The sequence below is a fragment of the Homo sapiens genome, chromosome 5 (genome assembly GCF_000001405.40).
Source record: "Homo sapiens chromosome 5, GRCh38.p14 Primary Assembly".
Lineage (NCBI taxonomy): Eukaryota > Metazoa > Chordata > Mammalia > Primates > Hominidae > Homo > Homo sapiens.
The window spans coordinates 28,548,011-28,571,856 of record NC_000005.10 but is presented as its reverse complement, the minus strand read 5'-3'; the positions used below and the strand labels follow the sequence as shown (position 1 = coordinate 28,571,856).

At 35.6% G+C, this 23,846-nt stretch overlaps 1 long non-coding RNA gene across 1 annotated transcript; it reads left to right on the top strand.

Annotated features, from left to right (window-relative positions):
• On the top strand, positions 1–23,482 carry LOC105374701 (uncharacterized). Its single transcript, XR_001742620.2, has 4 exons — positions 1–115; positions 13,385–13,516; positions 21,302–21,361; positions 23,357–23,482. It is a non-coding gene; the product is annotated as an uncharacterized LOC105374701 (long non-coding RNA).
• Positions 23,483–23,846: the final 364 nt, after the last annotated feature.

The following is a 23,846-nucleotide window of genomic DNA, read 5'->3' as shown; positions in this document are numbered from 1 at the left end:
GCCAAGTACTGAGAAGTGGTTCCACTGGCCTATCCACCTCCCACCTCGTTTCAGAGGCCTAAACTTTGGAATGGATAGACTAAGCACATCAGTTTGTTTGGGGAAGACTAGAAAGGTGAGTATTCCTTCCTTCAATGTCAATAACCAGGTGAATGTGTCTGTGTCCTTTCTCCTTATCTCTATAATCTACGCCAATTTTTCACAACCCTAAACACACTATTGAATTGTCTGGTGAGTTTTTGTTACTAATATGCAGAGGTGAGATTAGCTGATCTAGACTGTGTACTTTTACTTGGACAGCTGCTCTCAGAAATATACTTGCCTTTTCTATTCCTTCTAAAATTTGCTCAAAAATCATCTTCTGATTGAATCCTATCCATATCACCATGCAAAAAAATTGTCATCCTTAGCACCTTCCTGGTACCCTCTCTATCCTCTCTCTGAACAGTCATGTATCTGCCTCAGTGCATCACACAGCCAGTATTTCTAGGACTCTGCTGGGCCTCATTGGGACTACAAGGATGCTTGACACTGGATAGACTCAGGGCACTGAGTACCTGTAATTTCTGTCTCATTATCCAGCTTAAGGATTATTTTGTTAGTCTTAAGGGGGACTTTTCTCTTCATCTTTTTAAAACTACCACCACCTTTACCCAATAGTGTTCTTTCCCATAAGTTTTCTTAAGGCTTGACTATTTGAGAATTGATAGCCTGAAGGTGTTATTGACCATGTCTCTTTTTTTGATGCTCTATGTACCGACAATGAGAAATTAAATACAAAGCTATCTTTTTCAATGGAAGAAAAAGTCAGAGACACACTGATAAACACATACCCATACTATTTCAAAATATTATTCATCCACATATATGTGTAATACTGAATATAAACAGATTGATTCATTCATTGATACAGAATGTTAAAACATGTTCAATATCAGATTGTGTTGCCTAAATCCTGTGACCCATATGGGTCTTTAAATAGGAAATTTTACATTGTAATATATAAAGAGGTAACTGTATACATTTAAAAATTATTTAGAAATATTCCTTATGAAAGAGAAGATAATGTAGAGGTGAGAAGCATTGCTTTATACAGTGTGTTAGGCTAATGTATGCAGAAGGGACCATGACTGTAGGCAAACAAATTGCTAGGGATCACAGAATGCCCTTAAGATTAGTCCAGCAATAAATCATCCTGTTACTGTGTGGTAAAAATTCCAAGGCCCAGACAGAAAGTAATCTGTACTATTGAAAGTTTGTACCTGTTGGGCACTTGTTGGAAAGCTGGGAAAATTGTGTTCTCCAGTGCCATACAGAACTACCATTCCACAAATTTACTAAGGTAATCATCCTCTAGAATCTGCCTTTATTACTAGATCTATCTAAATTACATCTATCCTATGTAGATTCACAGATTTGTGCTATCTGGGGTGGGGGGGCGGTGGTTATAAGTGATTACAAGAATGAAAGGCAAATGGGAAGGTGTAATTATGTCAGTATTAAATTTATGAACTCCTAGATATCCACTTTCAATATTTAAATATTAGTTTTATATGTCGTGGTAATCTTATTATAAGCTCATATGTTACCTACTTATTTATTCATTTAATGCTTTTATGTAGTCCATGTCAAACCATGCCCAAAGGATTTCTAAATTATTAAATTGCACCTAGATTTTCAAGGGGCCGTGTCAGCTAGTAGAAAGAAATTCCTCTCTCAAGAATTAGGACATTTCACTACATTTTAAATAAGATAGACTGAAAGAAGCATGGTCAGCAGATGCTTAGTTCTATAGTTTGATCTCTTACAGCTAGAAAAATAAATGATATACAATCATGAATATAAAAGATACATAATCAAAACATTTAATAACTGAACATTATAAATAACAGTATATATGCTACAGAAAATAATAAATATTTTAAAATATAATATTTACATTCAAGGAGAAGAGAACTATTACTAAGATGAACAGAATAAGGTCTATTTCATCCTAAATGTGTTGTACAACATGAATCTAGAAAGCCAAGTCTATTAGATTTAGGGTAAAATTTGTCTCGTCAGATTCTGTAAATAAGATTAACTCAAGGAGTGGGGAAATTGGAAGGAACCACCTGCACAACTATTTCAAACTCAGTTACCAAGCTTACCACAATCATTCTGGTGTCATTCTGTGGTCTGTTCCAACGGTTTTAAATGGTACTGTGCACCAAAATCTCTCGTTATATTTTGTAGAGACAGATTTTCATGCCTCAAATCCAGATGTGCTAATGTAGTAAGCCAAGGAATCTCTATCATTTAGAATGAGTAATGAATAAGGATGTTTGATATATAAAAACATACCTAGCAAGGTAAAAAAGTAAAGCAAATATAATGTTAAAACACAAGAAGCTACCAAAATATCAAAAACCCTCTAAAAATCTTCCCATGCATACATGTATAACATGTCTGAATTTCTATAAATGGATGTATAGATATAAAGATTAATACATTTGTAAAGAATACAGGGTGCAACAATTCCATCAATACCCATGTATTTAAATATTAAATTTAAAATTAGACAAAGTCAAGAGTAATTCTGAATTTCAGACATATATATATATATATAACACAGTCCTAAAATTATTTATATGTCAAATTACAATAAAAAATTACTATATATTTAAAGGTAGTATGGTTGGAATCTGACTTTTTAACAAACATCTTCTGTAATTTTGGTATGCATAATTCTTGGACTATACATTGGAAAAGAGATCTAATGTGTGTGTACCCCAACTAAAAGTCAAGAACTTATGTTAACATCCTCATGAAATAACCCTATACTCCAAATTAATAATATATTGTAATTAGACATTTCCACTACTTCGGGTATTAAGTCAGACAAAATCTTTGCAGAATTTTAACCAGTATAAACATATGTTACTCACACAGAATTAGAACTGAAATTAATAGCATAATAAACTTTTGCACTTTCTGAAAACAATTATTTAAGCAATTTAGCTTAACCAAACAAGCTCAATTAATATGTCATTGCAAATAAACCACACCTACAATTTTAAGTGGATTTGCTAAGACTTCTTCTTTATAAATATAAATACAAACAAAAATAACAAAAATAAATATAATACTGACTTTTCTACAATAAAATATGATAATTTTGTCATAGCTTAACACTATTTTTCCTCCAAACTATGTTACTAAATATACTAAATATGTTACTAAATATATCACGCAGTGGCGTGATCTTGGCTCACTGTAACCTCCACCTTTTGGGTTTGAGAGATTCTCCTGCCTCAGCCACCTGAGTAGCTGGGACTATAGGCATGCGCCACCACGCCTGGCTAATTTTTGTATTTTTAGTAGAGACAGGGTTTCATCATGTTGGCTAGGCTGGTCGCGAACTCCTGACCTCAGGTGGTCCACCCACCTCGCATTCCCAAAGTGATGGGATTACAGGTGTGAGCCACTGCACCTGGCTAGTTGATGTTTTTTAAATGTCCAAAATATATCATCTTTTAAAGCACATACATTTTTCTGGATTTTTCTTTTTATTAAAATATAATATATAGTTGTGTCTTTTCTGTCAATATATTTCCATGCTGCTTTGGTTCATTTATTGTTTGTAGTCATGAATGCCTATACTATAAATTAACAATATTTTTTTCCTTCATAAATGACTTTCTGATTTATTGCATAGAAATTAAATTTACAGATGCGAATGTTATTTCAAGAAAACCTGTTGATTTTTTTCTTCTCATACTCACAAAAAGAATAGAAGTTACAACAATTTCACACTAACCAATTAGAAGGACTTGAAGTTTTAGAAATTTATTTTTGCTTAAAGTAATTCTGTTGTTTGTTGTAACTTCTATTCTTTTTGTGAGTATGAGAAGAAAAAAATCAACAGGTTCTCTGGAAATAACATTCACATCTGTAAATATAATTTCTATGCAGTAAATCAGACCATGTTTAGGGCAATCAATCAGCAAAACATATAATTATGGTGAAGTAATGTTGAAAATAAAGGAAGTATTTTATTTACACATAATGTGTTTTCTAATGAGATTTTATTAAGGAGCACAATTTTGCCATAGATACGAATAGGCAAAGTAAGTTATGTAGCCATGCTTCGTAAAAGTACAAATGATCTCAAAGCATATTTGATTTCTGAAATGATTAAAATAATTTTTACATTCCTCAAAGTAATGGATATTAATGTGTTTATATATAAACACGCTTTATCACGTTATTTTTGGGTAGATTTTTCATCATCATACATTCTCAAAACATGTTGGTTCTATAAATAATTAGAACATAAAATATGTTATTTACCCATCCTAAAGGAAGATAATAGTACTATAAGTGTAAATCACCTGGGTTATTATGCTATTTATTTCAGTGTGCTAAATGCAGACACCAAAAGAAAATGTCTACCCTCAACCATAGCGTTCGATTACTTTCACATCAGTTTTTTTTTGTTGTTTCTTCATTTCTTAAATAAAAAACCATCAAACTTCTATACTTCTCTCCCACTGTCACACGCTTACCCCATATTTTCAGAAACCTAAGTAATGCAGAAAATATTCATTGGAAGTATTTTGCTTTGCTAAGCTAAATTTTGTTCTTAAATTGAGCATTAGGTTTGTGATCAAAAAATTTATGATTTATGTGTTAGATCATTGCATCAAGTCACTTTCTTCACATCCATCGTTACCTAGTGAAAAAATAATAGAAATATAACGTGCTTCCTAACTTTCGCCAAGATTATTTTAAAATAGAATAGTGTAAAAAGTGAAAGGAAATGAAGCAAACAGATTTGCATTTAGCTTTAATAAGTTTGAGTAATTACTTCTGACCATAGCTCAACTCCTAACATTCTAGAGAGACTAAGGAATGGTGGTCATAGCCTTTGTAATACAAATTATATTATCAGACACTACAGAAAAGTCAATTTTGACCTGTTTCAATTTCTGAATGTTATCAGGAGCTACCATTGATTAACATATACATTTTGTATATTTATTTATTTATTTTTGTTGATACATATTTTACATACTTCTGGGGTACAAGTGGTATTTTATTACATGCATAGAGTGTGAAATGATCAACTCAGGTTATTTGAGGTATCCAGCACCTTCATTATTTATCATTTCAATGAGAAGGGAACAATCAAGTCCTCTCTTCTAGCTACTTTGAAATATATAACACCTTGTTGTAAACCATAGCCACCTTATTCTGCTGTCAAACATTAGCATTTATACTTTCTGAATGTAGCTTTGTACACATTAACAAATCTCTCTTTATCCCCCTTCTTCCACACTCACACCAGTTCCAGCCTCTGGTATCTGTCATTCTACTCCCTACCTCCAGGAAGGAAAACAACGTTTTTAGTTCCCACAGACAAGTGAGAATCTGCAAAATTTGTCTTTCTGTGTCTGGTTTATTTTACTTAACATAATGACATCTAGTTCCATCTTCTTTGCTGCAAATGGCATGATTTCACTCTTTATATGGCCAAGTGGTATTCCGTTTTGCAAATACACCACGTTTTCTCTATGTGTTTATCTGTTGATGGGCACTTAGGTTGATTTCATATTTTTGCTGTTGTGAATAGTGCTGTAATAAACATGCTAGTGCAAGTATCCCCTTGATACACTGATTTAGTTTCCTATGGATAAATACCCAGCAGCACAATTGATAGATTGTATTGTAGTTCTACCTTCAGTTTTTTGGGAAATCTGCATACTGTTTTCCACAGTGACTGTACTAATTTACATCCCCAACAACAGTCCATAAGAATGTCCTCTTGTCTGCACCCTTGCAGCATCTGTAATTTTTCATCTTTGTGATAATAACTATTCTAACTAGTGTAAGATGATGTCTCATTTGGGTTTTGATTTTCATTTCCCTGATTAGTGATGTTGAACATTTTTTCACATATGTTTGGCCACTTGTATATCTTCTTTTGAGAAATGTCTATTCAGGTGCTTTGCCCACTTTTTAATGGGATTATTTGCTTTTGTTACTGTTGAGTTGTCTGAGTTTCTTGTATATTCTGGATATTATCCCCTTGTTGGATGAATAGTTTTCAAATATTTTCTTCCATTCAATCAGTTGTCTCTTTATTCTGTTGTTTCCTCTACTGTGCAGAAGCTTTTTAGTTTGATATAGTCAGTCCTTTTTGACTGTTATTGTTTTTGTTGCCTGTGCTTTTGAGGTGTTAGCCATAAAACCTCTATTTAGACCAATGTCCTGGAGTATTTTTCTTATATTTTGTTTTGATAGTTTTGTAGTTTCTAGTCTTATGCTTCAGTATTTAATCCATCTTCAGTTGATTTTTGTATATGATGAGAGATAGGAGTCCAGTGCCATTCTTCTACATATGATCTCCTATTTCCCTGGCAACATTTATTTAACAGGGTGTCATTTTCTCAGTATGTGTTCTTGGCACCTTTGTTGAAATCAATTGGCTTTAAGTATGTGAATATATTTCTTAGTTCTCTTTTCTGTTGCATTGGTCTATGTATGTGTTTCTTATATGAAGACCATGACAATTTGGTTACTATTGCCTTGTAATATATTTCAAAGTCAGTTAGTGCGATGCCTCCAGCTTTGTTATATTTCATTTTTTTATGCTTAAGATTGCTTTTGCTTTGGCTATTCAGCCTTGGTTTTGTTCAATACTAATTTTAGGGTTTTCTTCTATTTCTGTGAAAAAATGATGTTGGTATTTGGATAGGGATTGCATTGAATATGCAGATTGCTTTGGGCTGTATGGTCATTTTAACAATATTAATTTTTTCAACCAATGACAATGGAATGTTTTCCAATTTTTTTGTGTCATCTTCAATTTCTTTTATCACTGTTTTGTAGTTGTCCTTATTCGGGTTATATTAGCCTGTTTTCACACTGTTATAAAGAGACTGGGTAACTTATAAAGACAAGAGGTTTAATTAACTCACAGTTCCACGTAGCTAGGGAGGCCCCAGGAAACTTACAGTCATGGCAGAAGGCAGACAGGTAGGCATGTCTTACATGGTGGCCCGAGAGAGAAGTGGGAAGACTCATACACTTATGAAACAACCAGATCTTGTGAGAACTGTATCAGGAGAACAGCATGAGGGAAACTGCCTACATGATCGAATCACCTCCCATCAGCTCCCTCCCCTGGGAATTACAATTTGAGATGAGATTTGGGTAGGGCCACAGAGCCAAACCATATCCATACCAGAGGTCTTCTACCTTCTTGGTTAAATTTATTTCTCAGTATTTTTGTAGCTATTATAAATTGAATTGATTTCTTGATTTCTTTCTCAGCTATCTAGTTTTTGGTGTATAGAAATGCTCTTGATTTTTGTATGCTGATTTGTGTCCCAAAATTATGCAATTTATTTACCAGATCTAAGAGGATTTTTTGGTGGATTCTTTAGGTTTTTCAAAATATAAGATTATATCATCTGTAATGAGGGACGATTTTACTTTTTCTTTTCCACTTTGATTCCTTTTATACCTTTCTCTTGCCTGATTCCTCTGGCTAAAACTTCCAGTCCTATTTTGATTAGGAGTGGTGAAAGTGGGCATAATTGGTCTTGTTCCAGCTATTAGAGGCTTTCAGCATTTCTCCATTCAGCATGATGCTGGCAATGGGTTTCTCATGTATTACCTTTATTATTTTGAGATTTGTTCCTTCTATGCGCAGTTTTTGAGAGTTTTTATCATAAATTGATGTTAACTTTAATGCTTTTGCTGGGTATTTTGAGATGATCATATGGTTTTTGTCTTCTATTGATGTCATGCTTATTGATTTGCATATGTTGAACCATTCTTGAATCCCTGAGATAAATCCCACTTGATAATGGTGTATTATCTTTTTAATGTGCTGTTGGATTTGGTTTGCTAGTATTTTACTGAGAATTTTTGTGTCTATGTTCATCAGGAATATGTGTTTGTAGTTTTCTTTTTGTGTTGCATCCTTGTCTGGTTTTGGTATTAGGATAATGCTGGCCTCATAGAATTAGTTGAGTAGAATTCTCTCCTCTTCCATTTTTTTTTAAGTTCCAGGATATATCTGCAGAATTTTCAGGTTTGTTAGATAGGTATACATGTGCCATGGTGGTTTGCTGAACCTATCAACCCATCATCTAGGTTTTAAGCCCTGCATGTGTTAGATAGTTGTCCTAATGATCTCCCTCCCCTTGTCCCTCATCGCTCAACAGGCTCCAGCGTGTGTTGTTCCCTTCCCTGTGTCCATGTGTTCTCATTGTTCAACTCCCACTTATGAGTAGAACATACTGTGTTTGGCTTTCTGTTCCTATGTTAGTTTGCTGAGAATGATGGCTTCTAGCTTCATCCATGTTCCTGCAAAGGACATGGTACAATTTGACCCAGCAAAGCCGTTACTGGTATATATCCAAAAAATTATAAATCATTCTACTATAAAGACACATGCACATGTATGTTTACTGCAGCACTATTTACAATAACAAAGACTTGGAACCAACCCAAATGCCCATCAATGATAGAATGGATAAAGAAAATGTGACACATATACACCATGGAATACTCTTCATTTCTGTGAAATAGCTGGATAAGAATTGGTGTTAGTTCTTCTTTGAAAGTTCAATAAAATTCAGCACTAATGCTATCTTATCCTGAGCCTTTTTATTACTGATCCAATCTCATTCCTTGTTATTGGACTGTTCAAGTTTTCTATTTCTTCTTAATTCAATATGGATAGGTCATATGTATCTAGAAATTTATTCATTTCCTCTTGGTCTTCCAGTTTCTTTCTTAGTATCCAGTTTTCATAGTATTCTCTGATGAATTTTTTGGATTTCTGTGGTATCAGTGGTAAATTAATCTATTTAAACTTCTCGCCTATATGTGTGTTTACATGTCATATCTGACTTTCTTTTAGGGAGTACCTAGTGGAATTATTTTTTAAGTCCATTTAACAAGTCTGTATCTTTTAAGTGGAAAGCTTTATTTGTTTACATTCAAGGTTATTATTGATATAAGTGAGCTTATTCCTTTTATGTCATTAATTGATTTGTTTGTTTTGTATATCATTTGTTCCTTTCCCTTTTCTTACCATTGTGGTTTGTTAGTTTTCTGTAACAGTATAATTTAAATATTTTTCACTCCTTGTTTGCTTTACCAGCAAGTTGGGTTTTATATTTTAATGTTTTTCATGATGGTAAACATCATTCTTTCACTTTTGGATGTGGGACTCCCTTAAGCATTTATCAGAGGGCTGATCTGGTGGTGATAAATTCCCTCAACTTTTGTTTATCTGAGAAAGAATGAGTAGAACATCATCCTTCATCTATGAATGATAACTTTATGAGTATTGTATCCTTGGCTGGAAGTTTTTATTTTTCTTTCAGCACTTTGAATATATCATCTCATTCTCTCCTGATCAGTGAGGTTTCTGCTGAGAAAACTGCACTAGTCTGATAGGAGTTTGTTTACAAATGACTATGTGCTTTTCTCATACTTTGTTTAGACTTCTCTCTTTGTCTTTGATTTTGTCATTTTGATTATAATGTGCTGTAGAAAAGACCTTTTTGATTTGTATCTACTTCAGAATTTCTGGGCTTCCTGTATCTGGATGTAGTGCATGTTGGCTTTGATTGTGCTTGCATACAATAGCATGTCTTCCATTTGATTTTTTTTGGCAGTAACAGGATCAGTGGTGACTGATTTCCTCAGTGGCTTAGGATGCAGTTGCTACCGGAGCCTGTAGTGACTGGGATACCAGTTGGGCCCCTTTGGTGGCAGTGACGGATCAAGTATAACTGTTCTTTGGTCCAAGGGTGGTGTCAATGTTAGCAGGTGCAGGCAGGCCAGTTCTTGAACCTTGCAGCAGCTTTGTCAGATGCAAGAAATGGTAGCAGTGGGCTGGAAAGGTGGGAAGGTTCTCATGCCCCTGGGTAACAGGTGTGGCAGGTGTGATGACAGTAGCAAAGTTGGGACAACTTTAAAGGCCCCAAGTGGTTCACAATGGTGTTGGTGTTGGTTGTAATGGGTGGGGTGGGCCAGTTTCCAGGTTCAAGTGTGGCATGTGTAGATGGGTATCAGATATGTTGGCAGAGGCCTGCTGAGTGGGTCCAAGCTCAGGCAACTGAGAGATGTTCTCAGGTGCCAATGTGGTGGACTGGGCTGGGCAATCTCCAGGCTCTGGACAGTGTGCCCAGGTACTGGGGGGAGTGAAATTGGGCCAAGAAGACCTGCCCTCAGGTCCCCTGATAGCACATACAGGCACTTTCTGTGTTAGGCAGGTGCAGGGCAATCTTGAGGCCACCAGCAGAATGCTTGGTGGAGGCAGCTGCTGTGCCTGTAGCCCTTCTATTGGGGAAGGTGGAGTTGCTTTCAGTGGAAACAACTGTAGGCAGCCATTTGGGGGGTACACTTCACTTGAGCTTTGACCCTTAAAGTGGCAGCTGCTTAGGACTTGAGGGTTTGGGGGATACCCTGTGGGCCCCCTCTCCAGAGCGATCCTATTGCATTTTCTCCAGGCAGCTCCCCATGTTGATTTCAGCATCCAACTGGGTCAAGGGGCTCTCCCATCAATAGGATAGCATGGTGAAAATATAGAACACTGAGAATCTCCCTTTCCCCCTATTTGGAGTCTCTCCAAGTTCCCAACCAATCCCAGCCAAGCAACTGCTTTGCTTTCCTATGTTTCCTTGCTTTAGATGTTCCCTGTCACTTCTTTGTTGAATTCCAGTGTCCTCTCTTAGGTGATCTATTTTAAGTGTGTAGTTATCTACTCACTATTTTGGTTCTCTTTGTGGAAGAGCAAATACCAGATGTATCTAGTCAACAATCTTGAAGCTACTTTCCCACATTATATATATTTAGAGTTAAATATTCATACCTTTAGTCCACATTATGTTCACCATGAATGGTTAAAAAGATGCAATAAAATTCAAGAGTACATAATAAAGTCAAAGTCGTATGCTTTATGGAGAATAGTGTGCCATAGACAAATTATCCTGAAAACATATCCTCTTCTACCTCTTACAGGACCAGCTCAAAAACCCCATACACCTCACTTCTAGACATCCTTTTAGATAGAATTCATAAGATCAGTGCAATTCCATGAGCACATTATATAATCTCCACAGATTTCTATGATATATATGTATTGTGTATGATATACAGGTATATCATATATATATATATGATTTCTTAATCAGAAAAAAATAATTTCTCAATTTTTATTAACATGTATGAGGGCTGGGCACCGTGGCTCACACCTGTAATCCCAGAACTTTGGGAAGATGAGGTGGGTGGATCACTTGAGGTCAGGAGTTTGAGACCAGCCAGACCAACATGGCAAAACCCTAACTCTACTAAACACACAAAAATTAGCCAGGCATCATGGTGCATGCCTGTAGTCCCAGCTACTTGAGAGGCTGAGGCAGGAGAATTGCTTGAACCCGGGCGGTGGAGGTTGCAGTGAGCTGAGATTGTGCCACTGCACTCCAGCCTGGGTGACAGAGTGAGGCTCTGTCTGAAAAAAAAAAAAAAGAAAAGAAAATATATATATATATATATATATATGAGAGATACTCACTAATTCATTTAATAATGTCCTTATGATACAGAACAGATGATGACAAACATCTTTTCTGTTCTGCCCTCATGGCTCTCGCAATCTAATTGGGAAAAGAAACACTAAACAAACACTTACTAAAAAACACCAATTCCAACTATATTAACTGTCACAAAGGAGAGTACAAGATGATCAATAAAATGCCATGTCTAAGGAATCAAGCAAGGCATTCCTAGTAGGCTGACACTTAGAGTGACCTACAGAGGTCAAATAAAAGGTGCCATAAGGAAAAGAGAAGAGAATGGACCTTAAAGAAAAAAAATCCTCTGAATTCATATAAAAACATATCCTGTGTTTATAATATTAAAAACAATATATTCTGGATAATAGCATTTCTCTTCTTATTTTTTAATTTGATCATATGTCATTACAGACTTGCATGATTGCTTCTCACAAGTCCCATTCAAAGATATTCTTTATGTTCCAGACTCACCCCAAAAAGGGGTATGTCAAACAGGTCTGCAATGCATGGAGACAACCACACAAAGATGCAAATTTTTGATTAAGAAACCTCCGTAATTTTGAACTCAGTATAATATAGATTATTGAAGACTAAGTCAAGCAGGTCGACTGAGAAAAACAAAAGTCTTTTGTGACCCTTGAAGGAAAATAATGTGTGCAAATAACAACTCAACCTAGTCAACTATACCTATATATTAGGAATGTATGCCTAATATACCAAGAATGATAAGGGACAAAAGCAAAAGAGGGAGAAAGAGAAAGATGGGGGGAGGGTGGAGAGAGAGAGAGAGAGAGAGAGAGAGAGAGATTATTTGTAACAATCCAGTTTAAACATTTAATGTATACACAGAGAATGTATTTGAGTATTTTTTGGCTCAATAAAATTACAACATCACTAAATAGTCAGTATGCTTCAAGGGTTAAGAGCATGGATTTTTCTAATTGGACATATTTCTACTCTTTGCTTCATTACACATGAGCAGTGTGACCCTAAGCAAGTTACTTTAATCAAAATGATCTTCGTCAGTAAATTGAGAAAAATATTAGATCTCACAAGAAATAAGCCTTATAAGAACTAAATGTAAATCGATTAGGATAGTTCCCTTCACAAATGTACTCAATATGTGCTACATAAAAAATGCATTTGGTATAATTAAGTATCACCTAAAGTGCCGAATACAATTTCTCTGGTGCATTAACATAGTTAAATGTATTATTCCTTTATTCTTGGATATTTTGGGTGTTTACTTTGATGGTAGATATATAAAAAATGAATGTCATAGTGATCCTCAGGAATTAATCCTATATTTATGGCTATTTAAAAAGGGTAGTTTATGAACTATAGTATTATGACATTTTTAGGCTTCTAATATATATTGAAAAATTATTTAAAAAAAAAACAGCAAGATTGCTGCTCATCCTGCCATTAATGATGTCAAGTAGTATTCATTTCAACATTCCTTTCCTAACCTTGAATTTTCATGTTCCTGCTGTGTCTAATTTAAGTTTTCTAGTTTTATAGATGAGAATGATACCCCATAGTTTTAATTTAAAATTTTTGGAACAGTAATAAAGTTGAACATTTTCCCAAAAGTACTATTTGAAATTTGATGAGACATTTAAAAAATAGCATGTTGTTATTATGCTCTATGTAGATGGAGTTCAATAGATGTAGTTCTTATGTTGTACTACTTGATTGCCACCTTAAAAATTAATTACTTTTTGTTTATACTTCTTCTTAGATTACAATAAATCATGCCATTCACACAAGTTCTTACAGGGATTTAATTGCATCTTTGAAAGGTTTGGCAGATACATCAAGCCAGTTCATTAATGCACAGATGATTCCTTCACATTAAGAAAGACACGTTGGAGCACCATAAATGTCAAGGCAGTTATTACACACAAAAAGCATAAAATGGCAACCATCAAAAGGTGAGCCCTTATTCAGTTGAGATCAAAAATAAAACTGCAATAACTCCTTTGTGTAATAATGGAGAAATATTAGATTATTTTAAGGTCATGCAAGGAGAATCTTTCATTTGTCAACTCTGTCCCTTTGAGGAAGGATTGTGTGTGTGTGTGTGTGTGTGTGTGTGTGTGTCTCATGATTCTGTTCACACATCAGTCTGCAAGGAACAGCAGATTTTACCACTATAATGCATTTGTTTGGATTCTTTTGCCCAGATATTTACTGAGTTCACATTATTTCCAATGAACATTTATATGAGTCTCTTTCTCTTTAATAATTAAGAGTTTACTAGAAAGAATAAAAATTCAAATATTGTTATATATTTAAAAAACATTTAAAAATGCACTAATAGCAATTAAAAAAGGGTTAAACATGGGAGTTTGGAAATTCATAATTACTACTAGCTCTGAATTCTAACACAGTGGAGTCAATATATAACAATATTTCATTTGATATTAGAAAACTTTCTAATTCTCAAGTGTTTAAGCAATCACTTAAACATTCATATATTTATTTAGCTGTGTGATCTGACTTTAACTGAACAAGAAATGAAATTAAATTAAATGCAAATGGCTAATTACTATGTACCTACTATTACTTTACCTTGTATCGTGGATACCAGCTCAGCCACAGCAGGATAGGGCAACAGTCAGAGTTGCAAGGTCCCCTATCTGGGCCCTAGCTCCTAGATATTTCTAGACACACCCTGGGCCATAAAGGAACCCACTGCTTTATAGGGAAGAGCCCAGTCCTGGCAGGATCCATCACCTGCTGACTAAAAAGGCTTTGGGGCCTGAATAACCAGCAGTGATAAAGGTAGTACACTGTGGGCCTTGGGTGAGACTCTTGAGACTAGCTGGCTTCAGGTACCAGGTCAGCCACAGTGGAGTAGAGCATGAAGCAGGCTCTTGGGGTCCCCAGTTCCAAGCCTTTTCTGTTGGAAGATATTTCTGGACCTGCCATGGGCCACAGGATAGCTCACTGACCTGAAGGGTGAGTCCCAGGCCAGGCAGCATTCACCACAAGCTGACTAAAGAGCTCTTGGGCCTTAAGGGAACATTGGCAGTAGCCTGGCAGTGCTCCCTGTGGGCCTGTGATGGTGGTGGCCATGGGGTGAAATTCCTCTGCCTGTAAATAGTGGAAAGAAGAATGAAAATGCATCTCATGTTTTGAGTGACAGCTTGGCTACAGTACAATAGAACACCAGGAAGACTTGTAAGATTTTTGGCTCCAGTCCGTGGCTCCCTGATGTCACATCTGGACCTGCCTGGCATCTGGGGGAACTTATAACCCTGAAGGGGAGGACACGAATGCTGGCTTCAACACCTGATGATTGTAGAAACACAGGGCATTGAACAAATATAGGTAGTATCCAGGTATTGGTTACAGCAGGCCTTAGGCAAGACTCAGTGCTGTGCTTCCTTCAGGTCTAACCCAGCACGATCCCAGCAGAGGTGGCCACAGGGGTGCTTGTGTCACCCTACTCTCAACTCCAGGTGGCAGGGAGAGAGAGAGAGAGAGAGAGAGAGAGAAACTCCACTTGCTTGAGAGAAAGTAAGAGAAAAAAACAAGGGTCTCTTCCTGGTAATTCAGAGAATTCTTCCAGATCTTACCCAAGACCAACGAGGTCGTACATCTATGAGTCTGCAAGAACTGCAGCATTACTGAGCTTGGGGTGCCCTCTAATGCAGATATGGCTTAGATCGCAACACCCAGGTCCTTTCAAATACCTGGAAAACCTTATCAAGAGAGACAAGTGCAAACAAGTTCAGACTGTGAAGACTGCAACAAACACCTAACCCTTCAATGCACAGACACAAACAAATATGTACAAGCATGAAGACCATCCAGGAAAACATGCCCTCATTAAATGAACTAAATAAGGAAACAGGGACCAATCCTGGAGAAAGAGAGATATGTGACCTTTCAAACAGAGAATTCACATAGCTTTTTTGAGGAAACTCAAAGAAATTCATGATAATACAGAGAAGAAATTAAGAATCTTATCAGATAAGTTTAACAGGGAGATTGAAATATTTTTTTAAAATCAGGCAGAAATTCTGGAGTTAAAACATGCAATTGACATGATCAAGAATGCATTAGTCTTTTCATAACAGAATTGTTCAATCAGAAAAATGAATCAGTGAGGTTGAAGACAGACTATCTGAGAGTACACAGTCAGAGGACACAAAAGAAAAAAGAATATAAAGCAATGAAGCATGCCTATGGGGTCTAAAAAATAGCCCCAAAAGGGTATACCTAAGAGTCATTGACCTTAAAGAGGAGGTAATGAAAGAGATAAGGGTAAAAGGTTTTCAAAGGGATAATTACAGAGAACTTCCCAAACCTAGAGAAAGATATCAGTATCCAAGTATAAGAAGGTTATAGAACATGAAGCAGATTAACCCACAAAAGTCAACCTCAAGGCATTTAATAATTAAACTCTGAAAGGTCAATGATACAGAAAGAATCTTAAAAGCAACAAGAGAAAAAGCATAAATAACACACAGTGGAACTCCAATATGTCTGGTGAAAACTTTCCAGTGGAAACCTTATAGATCAGGAGAGAGTGGCATGAAATATTTAAAGTGCTGATGGAAAAAAAAAATAATAAAAATAACTTTTACTCTAGAATAATGTAATCAGTGAAAATACTGTGCAAACATGAAGGAGAAATAAAGAACAGACAAATGAAAACTGAGTTATTTCATCAACCCCAGACCTGTTACAAGAAATGCTAATGGGAGTACCTCAATGAGAAATAAAAGGACATTAATGAGTAATAAGAACTCACCTGAAGGTACAAAACTTACTGCTAATAGTAAATACACAGAAAAACACAGAACATTATAGCATTGTAAACTGATGTGTAGACTATCTTTAACCAATCAAAAGTAGTACCTACAACAACTGTTAAAGACATAGACAGTAAAATAAGATATACATAGAAACAACAAAGCATTAAAACATAGGGGGACAAAGTTAAAATAGAGTTTTATTAGGCTTTTTTTGCTTGTTTGTATATGTAGACAGTGTTAAGTTGTTATAAGATTTAAATAATGGGTTCTAAGATAGTATTTGTTAACCTCGTGGTAACTTCAAATCACAAATCATAAAACAGATACACAAAAGCTGAAAAGAAATTAAATTATACCACCAGAGAAAATCATCTTCACTAAAAGAAAGACAGGAGAAAGAAAAGAAGAAAGAGAAAACCACAAAACAATCAGAAAACAAAATAACAAAATGGTAGGAGTATGCCCTTACTTATCAATAATAAATTGCATGTAAGTGGACTAAATTGCCAATCAAAAGGTGTAAAGTGGCTGAATGAATAAACAAACAAGGTCCATTGATCTGTTTTCTGCAAGAAACACACCTCACCTATAGAGACAAACAGACTGAAAATAAAGGAATGGAAAAAATTACTCCATGTCAATGGAAACCAAAAGCGAGCTGGAGTCGCTATTCTTAGACAAAATAGATTTTAAGACAAAAACTTTAAGAAAAGACAAAGAAGGTCACTATAGAAAGATAAAGGGGTCAATTCAGCGAGAGGATATAACAATTGTAAATATATTTGCACCCAACAGTGGAACACCAAGATATATAAAGCAAATATTATCACAGTTAAAGAGGGAGACAGACCCCAATTCAGTACTAGCTGGAGACTTCAACACCCCAGTTTCAGCATTGGAAAGATATTTCAGACAGAAAAGCAATAGAGAAAAAACAGACTTAACCTGCAACAGACCAAGTGGATATAATAGATATTTACAGAACATTTCCTCAAATGGCTGCAGGATACACACTCTTTTCCTCAGCATATAGATCATTCTCAAGGAAAGATCATATGTTAGTTATGTATTAAGATAAGTATTAAAACATTCAAAAAAATTGAAATAATGCGTCTTCTCTGATCACAATGAAATAAAACTAGCAATCAACAACCAGAGGAATTTTGGAAACTGTACAAACACATGGAAATTAAACAATATGCTCCTGAATGACCAATGAGTGAATGAAGAATTTAAAAAGGAAACGAAAAATTTCTTGAAACAATTGATGTAAAATACAACATACCAAAACCTATGGGATACAGTAAAAACAGTACTAGAAGGGAAGTTTATAGCTATAAGTTCCTACATCAAAAGAAGAAAAAAAAACCCATCAAATTAAAAACCTAACAATGCACCTTAAAGAACTAGTAAAGCAAGAGCAAGAGCAAACCAAACCCAAATTTAGCAGAGGAAAAATAAATAAAGATCAGAGCAGAAACAAGTAAATTTTAAGTGACAAAAACAACACAAACATAAATGAAACAAGGTGGTTTTTTGAAAAGATAAGTAAAATTGACAGACCTTTAGCCAGACTAACTGAAAAGAGACAGAGAGAGAGCCCAAATAAATAAAATCAGAGATGAAAAAAGGATATTATGACTGATAACACAGAAACTCAAAGGATAATTTGTGACCACTATGAGCAATTATTTGCCAATGATCTGGAAAATATAGAAGAAATGAATAAATTCCTTGACATATACATTCTACCAAGGCTGAACCATGAGGAAATCCAAAATCTGAACAGACCAAAAATAGGTAACAACATTGACGTTATAATAAAAGTCTCCCGGCAAACAAGAGTCTAGGATCCAATGGCTTCACTGCTGAAATCTGCCAAACATATAAAGAAGAACTAATACCAATTCTACTTCAGCTATTCTGAAAAATAGAGGAGACGTGAATACTTCCAAACTCATTATATGAAGCCGGTATATACCCTGATACTGAAACCAGACAAAGACATATCAGAAAGAGAAAACTATAATCCAATATCACTGATAAATAGTGTTGTAAAACGTTATCAACAAGATACTAGCAAATCAAATTCAATAATACATAAAAAAGATCATTCATTATGACCAAATGAGATTTATCTCAGGGATGCAAGGATGGTTCAACATAAGCAAACCAATCAATGTGATACATCATATCAGCAGAATGAAGGACCAAGTCATATGATCATTACAATTGAGGCTGAAAAAGCATTTGATAAAATTCAACATTTCTTCTGGATAAATACCCTAAAGAAACATATGTCAACATAACAGCAGTCATATATGACAGACCTATAACTGGTTATATGCTGAATGAGGAAAAACTGAAAGCCCTATGATCATTGCAACTGAGGCTGAAAAAGCATTTGATAAAATTCAACATTTCTTCTGGATAAATACTCTAAAAATGTTAGATATATGTCAACATAATAGAATCCATATGTGACAGACCCATAGCTATTTTCATAATGAATGAGGAAAAACTGAAAGCTTCTCTTCTAAGATCGGGAACATGACAAGGATGCCCATTTTCAACACTATTACTCACCATAATACTGGAAATGCTAGCTAGAGCAATCAGACGTGAGGAAGAAATAAAAGGCACTCAAATTGGAAAGGAAGAAGTCAAATTATCCTTGTTTGCAGATAATATGATCTTATATTTGGAAAAATCTGAAGATTCCATTCAAAAATCTATTAGAACTGAAGAACGAATTCAGTAAAGTTGCAAGATACAAAATCAACATACAAAAATCAGTAGCATTTCTATATGCCAACAGTGAACAATCTGAAAAAGGAATCAATAAATTAATGCCATTTACAGTAGCCACAAATAAAGTATCTAAGAATTAAGCAAAGAAATGAAAGGTATCTACAATGAAAACTATAAAACACTGATGCAAGTAATTGAAGAAGACAAAGAAATGGAAAGATAATTTGTGTTCACGGATTAGAGGACTCAATATAGTCAAAATGTCCATACTACCCAAAACAATCTACAAATTTAATGCAATCCCAATCAAATTACCAATAAGATTCTTCATAGAAATAAAAAAAAAAATCTAAATTTTACAGGAAACCACAAAAGACCCGGAATAGCCAGAGCTATTCTTAACAAAAAGAACAAGACTGGAGGAATCACATTACCTCACTTTAAATTATACTACAGAGCTATAGTAACCAAAATGGCATGGTACTCGCATTAAAACAGACACACAGATAAGTGGAACACAACAGAGGACCTAGAGATGAATCCATAAATCTACAGTGAACTCATTTTTGACAAAAATGCCAAGAACGTATGTTAGGGACACAACAGTCTCTTCAATAAATGGTGCTGGGAAAACTAAATATCTATATACAAAAAAATGAAACTACATTTATATATTTTGCTGTATACAAAAGTCAAATTAAATTGGATTAAAGACTTAAATTTAAGGCTTCAAACTATGAAACTACTACAACAAAACATTGAGGAAACTCTCTAGGACATTAGAGTGGGCGAAGGCTTCTTTAGTAATACCAATAAGCACAGACAAGCAAAGCAAAACTGAACAAATCAATTACATCAAGTTAAAAGTCTTCTGAACAGCAAAGGAAAAAATTGACAAAATATAGACACAGCCCACAGAATGGGAGAAAATATTTGCAAACTACCTATTGGATAAGGGATTAATAACCAGAATATATAAGGAGCTCAAACAACTCTATAGGAAAAAAATCTAATAATCTAATTAAGAAATTGAAAAAAATACCTGAATAGACATTTCTCAAAAGAAGACATGCAAATGAAAACAGGTATATGAAAAGTGCCTCAACATCACTGATTATCAGAAAAATGCAAATCAAAACTGCAATGAGATATGATCTCATCCCAGTTAAAATGTCTTTTATCCAAAAGTTAACAATATCAAATGCTGGTGAAAATGTGGAGAAAATGGAACCCTGGTACACTGTTGGTGGAAATATAAGTTAGTACAACCACTGTAGGAAACAGTTTGGAGGTTCCACAAAAATCTAGAGCTACCATATGATCCAGCAATTTCACTGCTAGTTATATATTGAAAATAAAGAATTCATTATATTGAAGAGGTCTTCATGGCAGTCCCTCCCATCCCAGACCTGGAGATGTAGGAGGAAAAAATAGTTTCCTGGGCCAGGCCCAGGGACCCACAGCTCTATGCATCCTCCAGACATGGTGCTCTGCATCCCAGCTGCTTCAGCTCCAGCTGTGGCTAAAAGGGACCAATGTACAGCTTAGTCCATGGCTTCACAGGGTGCAAGCCCCAAGCCTTGGCAGCTTACATGTGGTGTTAGGCCTGCGGGTGCACAGAAGTCAAGAATTGAGGTTTGGGAACCTCTGCCTAGATTTCTGAGGATGTATGGAAATGCCTGTGTGTCCAGGCAGAAGTTTGGTCCAGGGACAGAACCCTCATGGAGAACCTCTGCTAATGCAGTGCAGAAGGGAAATGTGGGATTGAAACTTCCACAAAGAGTCTCCACTGGGGCACTGCCTAGTGGGTCTGTGAGAAGACAATCACCATCCTCCAGACCCTGGAATGGTAGATAACCGATAGTTCGCACCATGCACCTGGAAAAGCTGCAGACACTCAATGCCAGCCCATGAAAGCAGCCAGGAGGGGGGCTGGACCCTGCAAAACCACAGGAGTGGAGCTGCCCAAGGCTGTGGGAAGCCCCCTCTTGAATCATCGTGACCTGGATGTGAGACATGGAGTCAAAGGAGATAGTTTCAGAGCTTTAAGATTTGACTGCCCCACTGGATTTTGGGCTTGCATGGGGCCTATAGCCCCTTCATTTTGGCCAATTTCTCCTATTTGAAATGCATGTATTTACCAAAAGCCTGTACCCCCATTGTATGTAGGAAGTAACTAACTTCCTTTTGATTTGACAGATTCATAGCCAAAAGGGACTTGCCTTATCTCAGTTGAGGCTTTGGACTTGGAACTTTGAGGTAAGGCTGGAATGACTTAAAATCTTGGGGGTCTCTTGGAAGGCCAAGATTGTGCTTTGAACTGTGAGGGCATGAGATTTGGGAGTGGCCAGGGTTGGAATTATATAGTTTGGCTGTGTACCTACCCAAATCTCATCGTGAATTGTAGTTCCTATAATCCCCACATGTCATGAGTGGGACCAAGTGGAGTTAACTGAATCATAGAGGTGGTTTCCCCCATGCTGTTCTCCACGATAGTGAGTTAGTTCTCACAAGGTCTGATGGCTTTATAAGGGGCTTCCACTTTCACTGGGCACTTACTTTTCCTCTCTGTCACCATGTGAAGAAGGACATGTTTGCTTCCCCTTCCACCATGATTGTACGTTTCCTAAGGTCTTCCCAACCTTGTGGAACGCTGAGTCAACTACACCATTTTCTGTTTTTAAATTACCCAGTCTCAGACAGTTCTTTATAGCAGCATGAGAATGGACTAATCCACATACAATATGGTACTGAGTATTTAAAATAATTTCTTAGAATTTTTCTTATAGTGATGAATAACTGACTTTTATAACAAAGAAGTGGTTCATGCTCAATTGTACAAAAGCATAAACTAAGCAATACATACATTCTTCATATTACTTTGCCCTTGTCCCTCAATACACTATTTAAGTACTTTTGACTTTGTCCTAAGTATACTGCCGTGTAATGACTTAAGATGACTTAATTTTCAGAATATTTGTTCCTATTTAAACCACTAAGTAAATGTTCTTTGTACAGCCACTCTTGACCTCACTTGATCTTTACTTTGTTCAGAAGTAATCATAAAGTCAAAAGCAAACTTGCCTGTGGACACTGAATTTATTCATTTACCTTTCTAATGCAATGGTCGTTTGTGTGATTCAAAATGTATTATATTAAATTTTATTAGGTTAGGATTAAAAAATCAAATATAACACTATCTCTTAAAGAATTCACAAATGCAAAAGAATAGGTCACTTGCAGAATGCCACAGATACTTCAGAAGTGGTGATTCTTTATTTGAAAAACACTTGATCTATCATGTTATGTGTGGAGTTGAATGTGATGTCCTTCCTACAGACTTACAATAAATGGTACTGGGCTGGAAAGTCTTACACAACCAAGCACATTTCAGTCGAATCATCAAATTAATTGCCTTTTGCCTTTAATATACCTTCGCTGATAATAGCAAAGAAAGAATGAAGCTTATTTTGTAAGACTTACCTTCTAGGAGATGAGATCAAAAGAAAAATTGAATGAAGGGTTAAGCTAATGGCACATAAAATAAAGCAATTAGCTTTTGAACTCCTTAGTCTAGCACATTTTTTCAGACAGTAATCTGTAAAGTTTGAAGGTGCTAACAGGATCACCGTGGTGACTAAGTTAAAATCCATATTAGACTCCTCAAAGTACTTTCATTGAATGGCTAAAGCAGTGTCATAAGTACAGTGGAAGCTGACACATCATTAGACAGAAGTTAGCTAAACTTCCTACCACATGGGTAGACTAGAACAGTCACAGAAGTTTCACTGAACTTCTTAGAAAAGTGAAATCATTACATTTTTCTAGCATGATGCAAAATACAACTCAAAGTGAATTTATCAATACCTGAATAAAACATGACCTAAAATGAAACAATTCAAATATTATATAACATCTGAAAAATGTGTCAGAGAACTCAATAAACATAAAGCTAAAACATTAAAGCTAATAAAAAATGTCCTGGATTATACAGCTGCTGGTAATGTTTTCTGTATGTTCTAAAGCCATTCTACGTTTTATCACAATAATATTGAACCAGTGTGGATGTCAGACTTTGCATTAAATCTCTCTGATCTCTTTCTGAGAACCTGGTAGGGCTGGGCTATTCTAGCCTCAGGTGATTGGTGTTAGTCAAGTGATTTGCATAGGTCATCAGCAAGCAAAAGGGTTGTGGATCAAGATAAAACATCTAAGAACCAAAACATGGTATGCCATCTTCTTTCTGTCTGTCAGAATAACCAGCAATGTTCCAGAAATTATCTGCTCTCTCGCCCTGGTCTCAACTTGCAGAAGATGGGAAGCAGAGCTCCCAGCCTGCCCAAGATGAACATGTGGTATAGACAAGAAATACACCTCTGTTCTTTTAAGCTTCTGAGATTTTGTATATGTTTGTTTCTTACCAAACCACATATCCAAAGTTACTAATTGATGTAATTTGTATTTGGAAAGAAACTCATTTACAACTATTTTTATTCTAAATGATTTCTAAAATGTCCACTTTATTAATTTTGATATATCCAACATATAATCTAGATACCAAGTTTGAATCATTTTTATTTTGTCAAATAACACATATATTTTATAAATTGCATACAAAAACTGTAGCAATCTTATTTTGTTGGGATGATCAGACCCAACACCAGGCTGTGGGGGCTACAAAGTATGGCGGAGTCAAAGGAATGAGAAAAGAGAAGTTTAAGAGTGCATGAAGTGGAACCAGGGG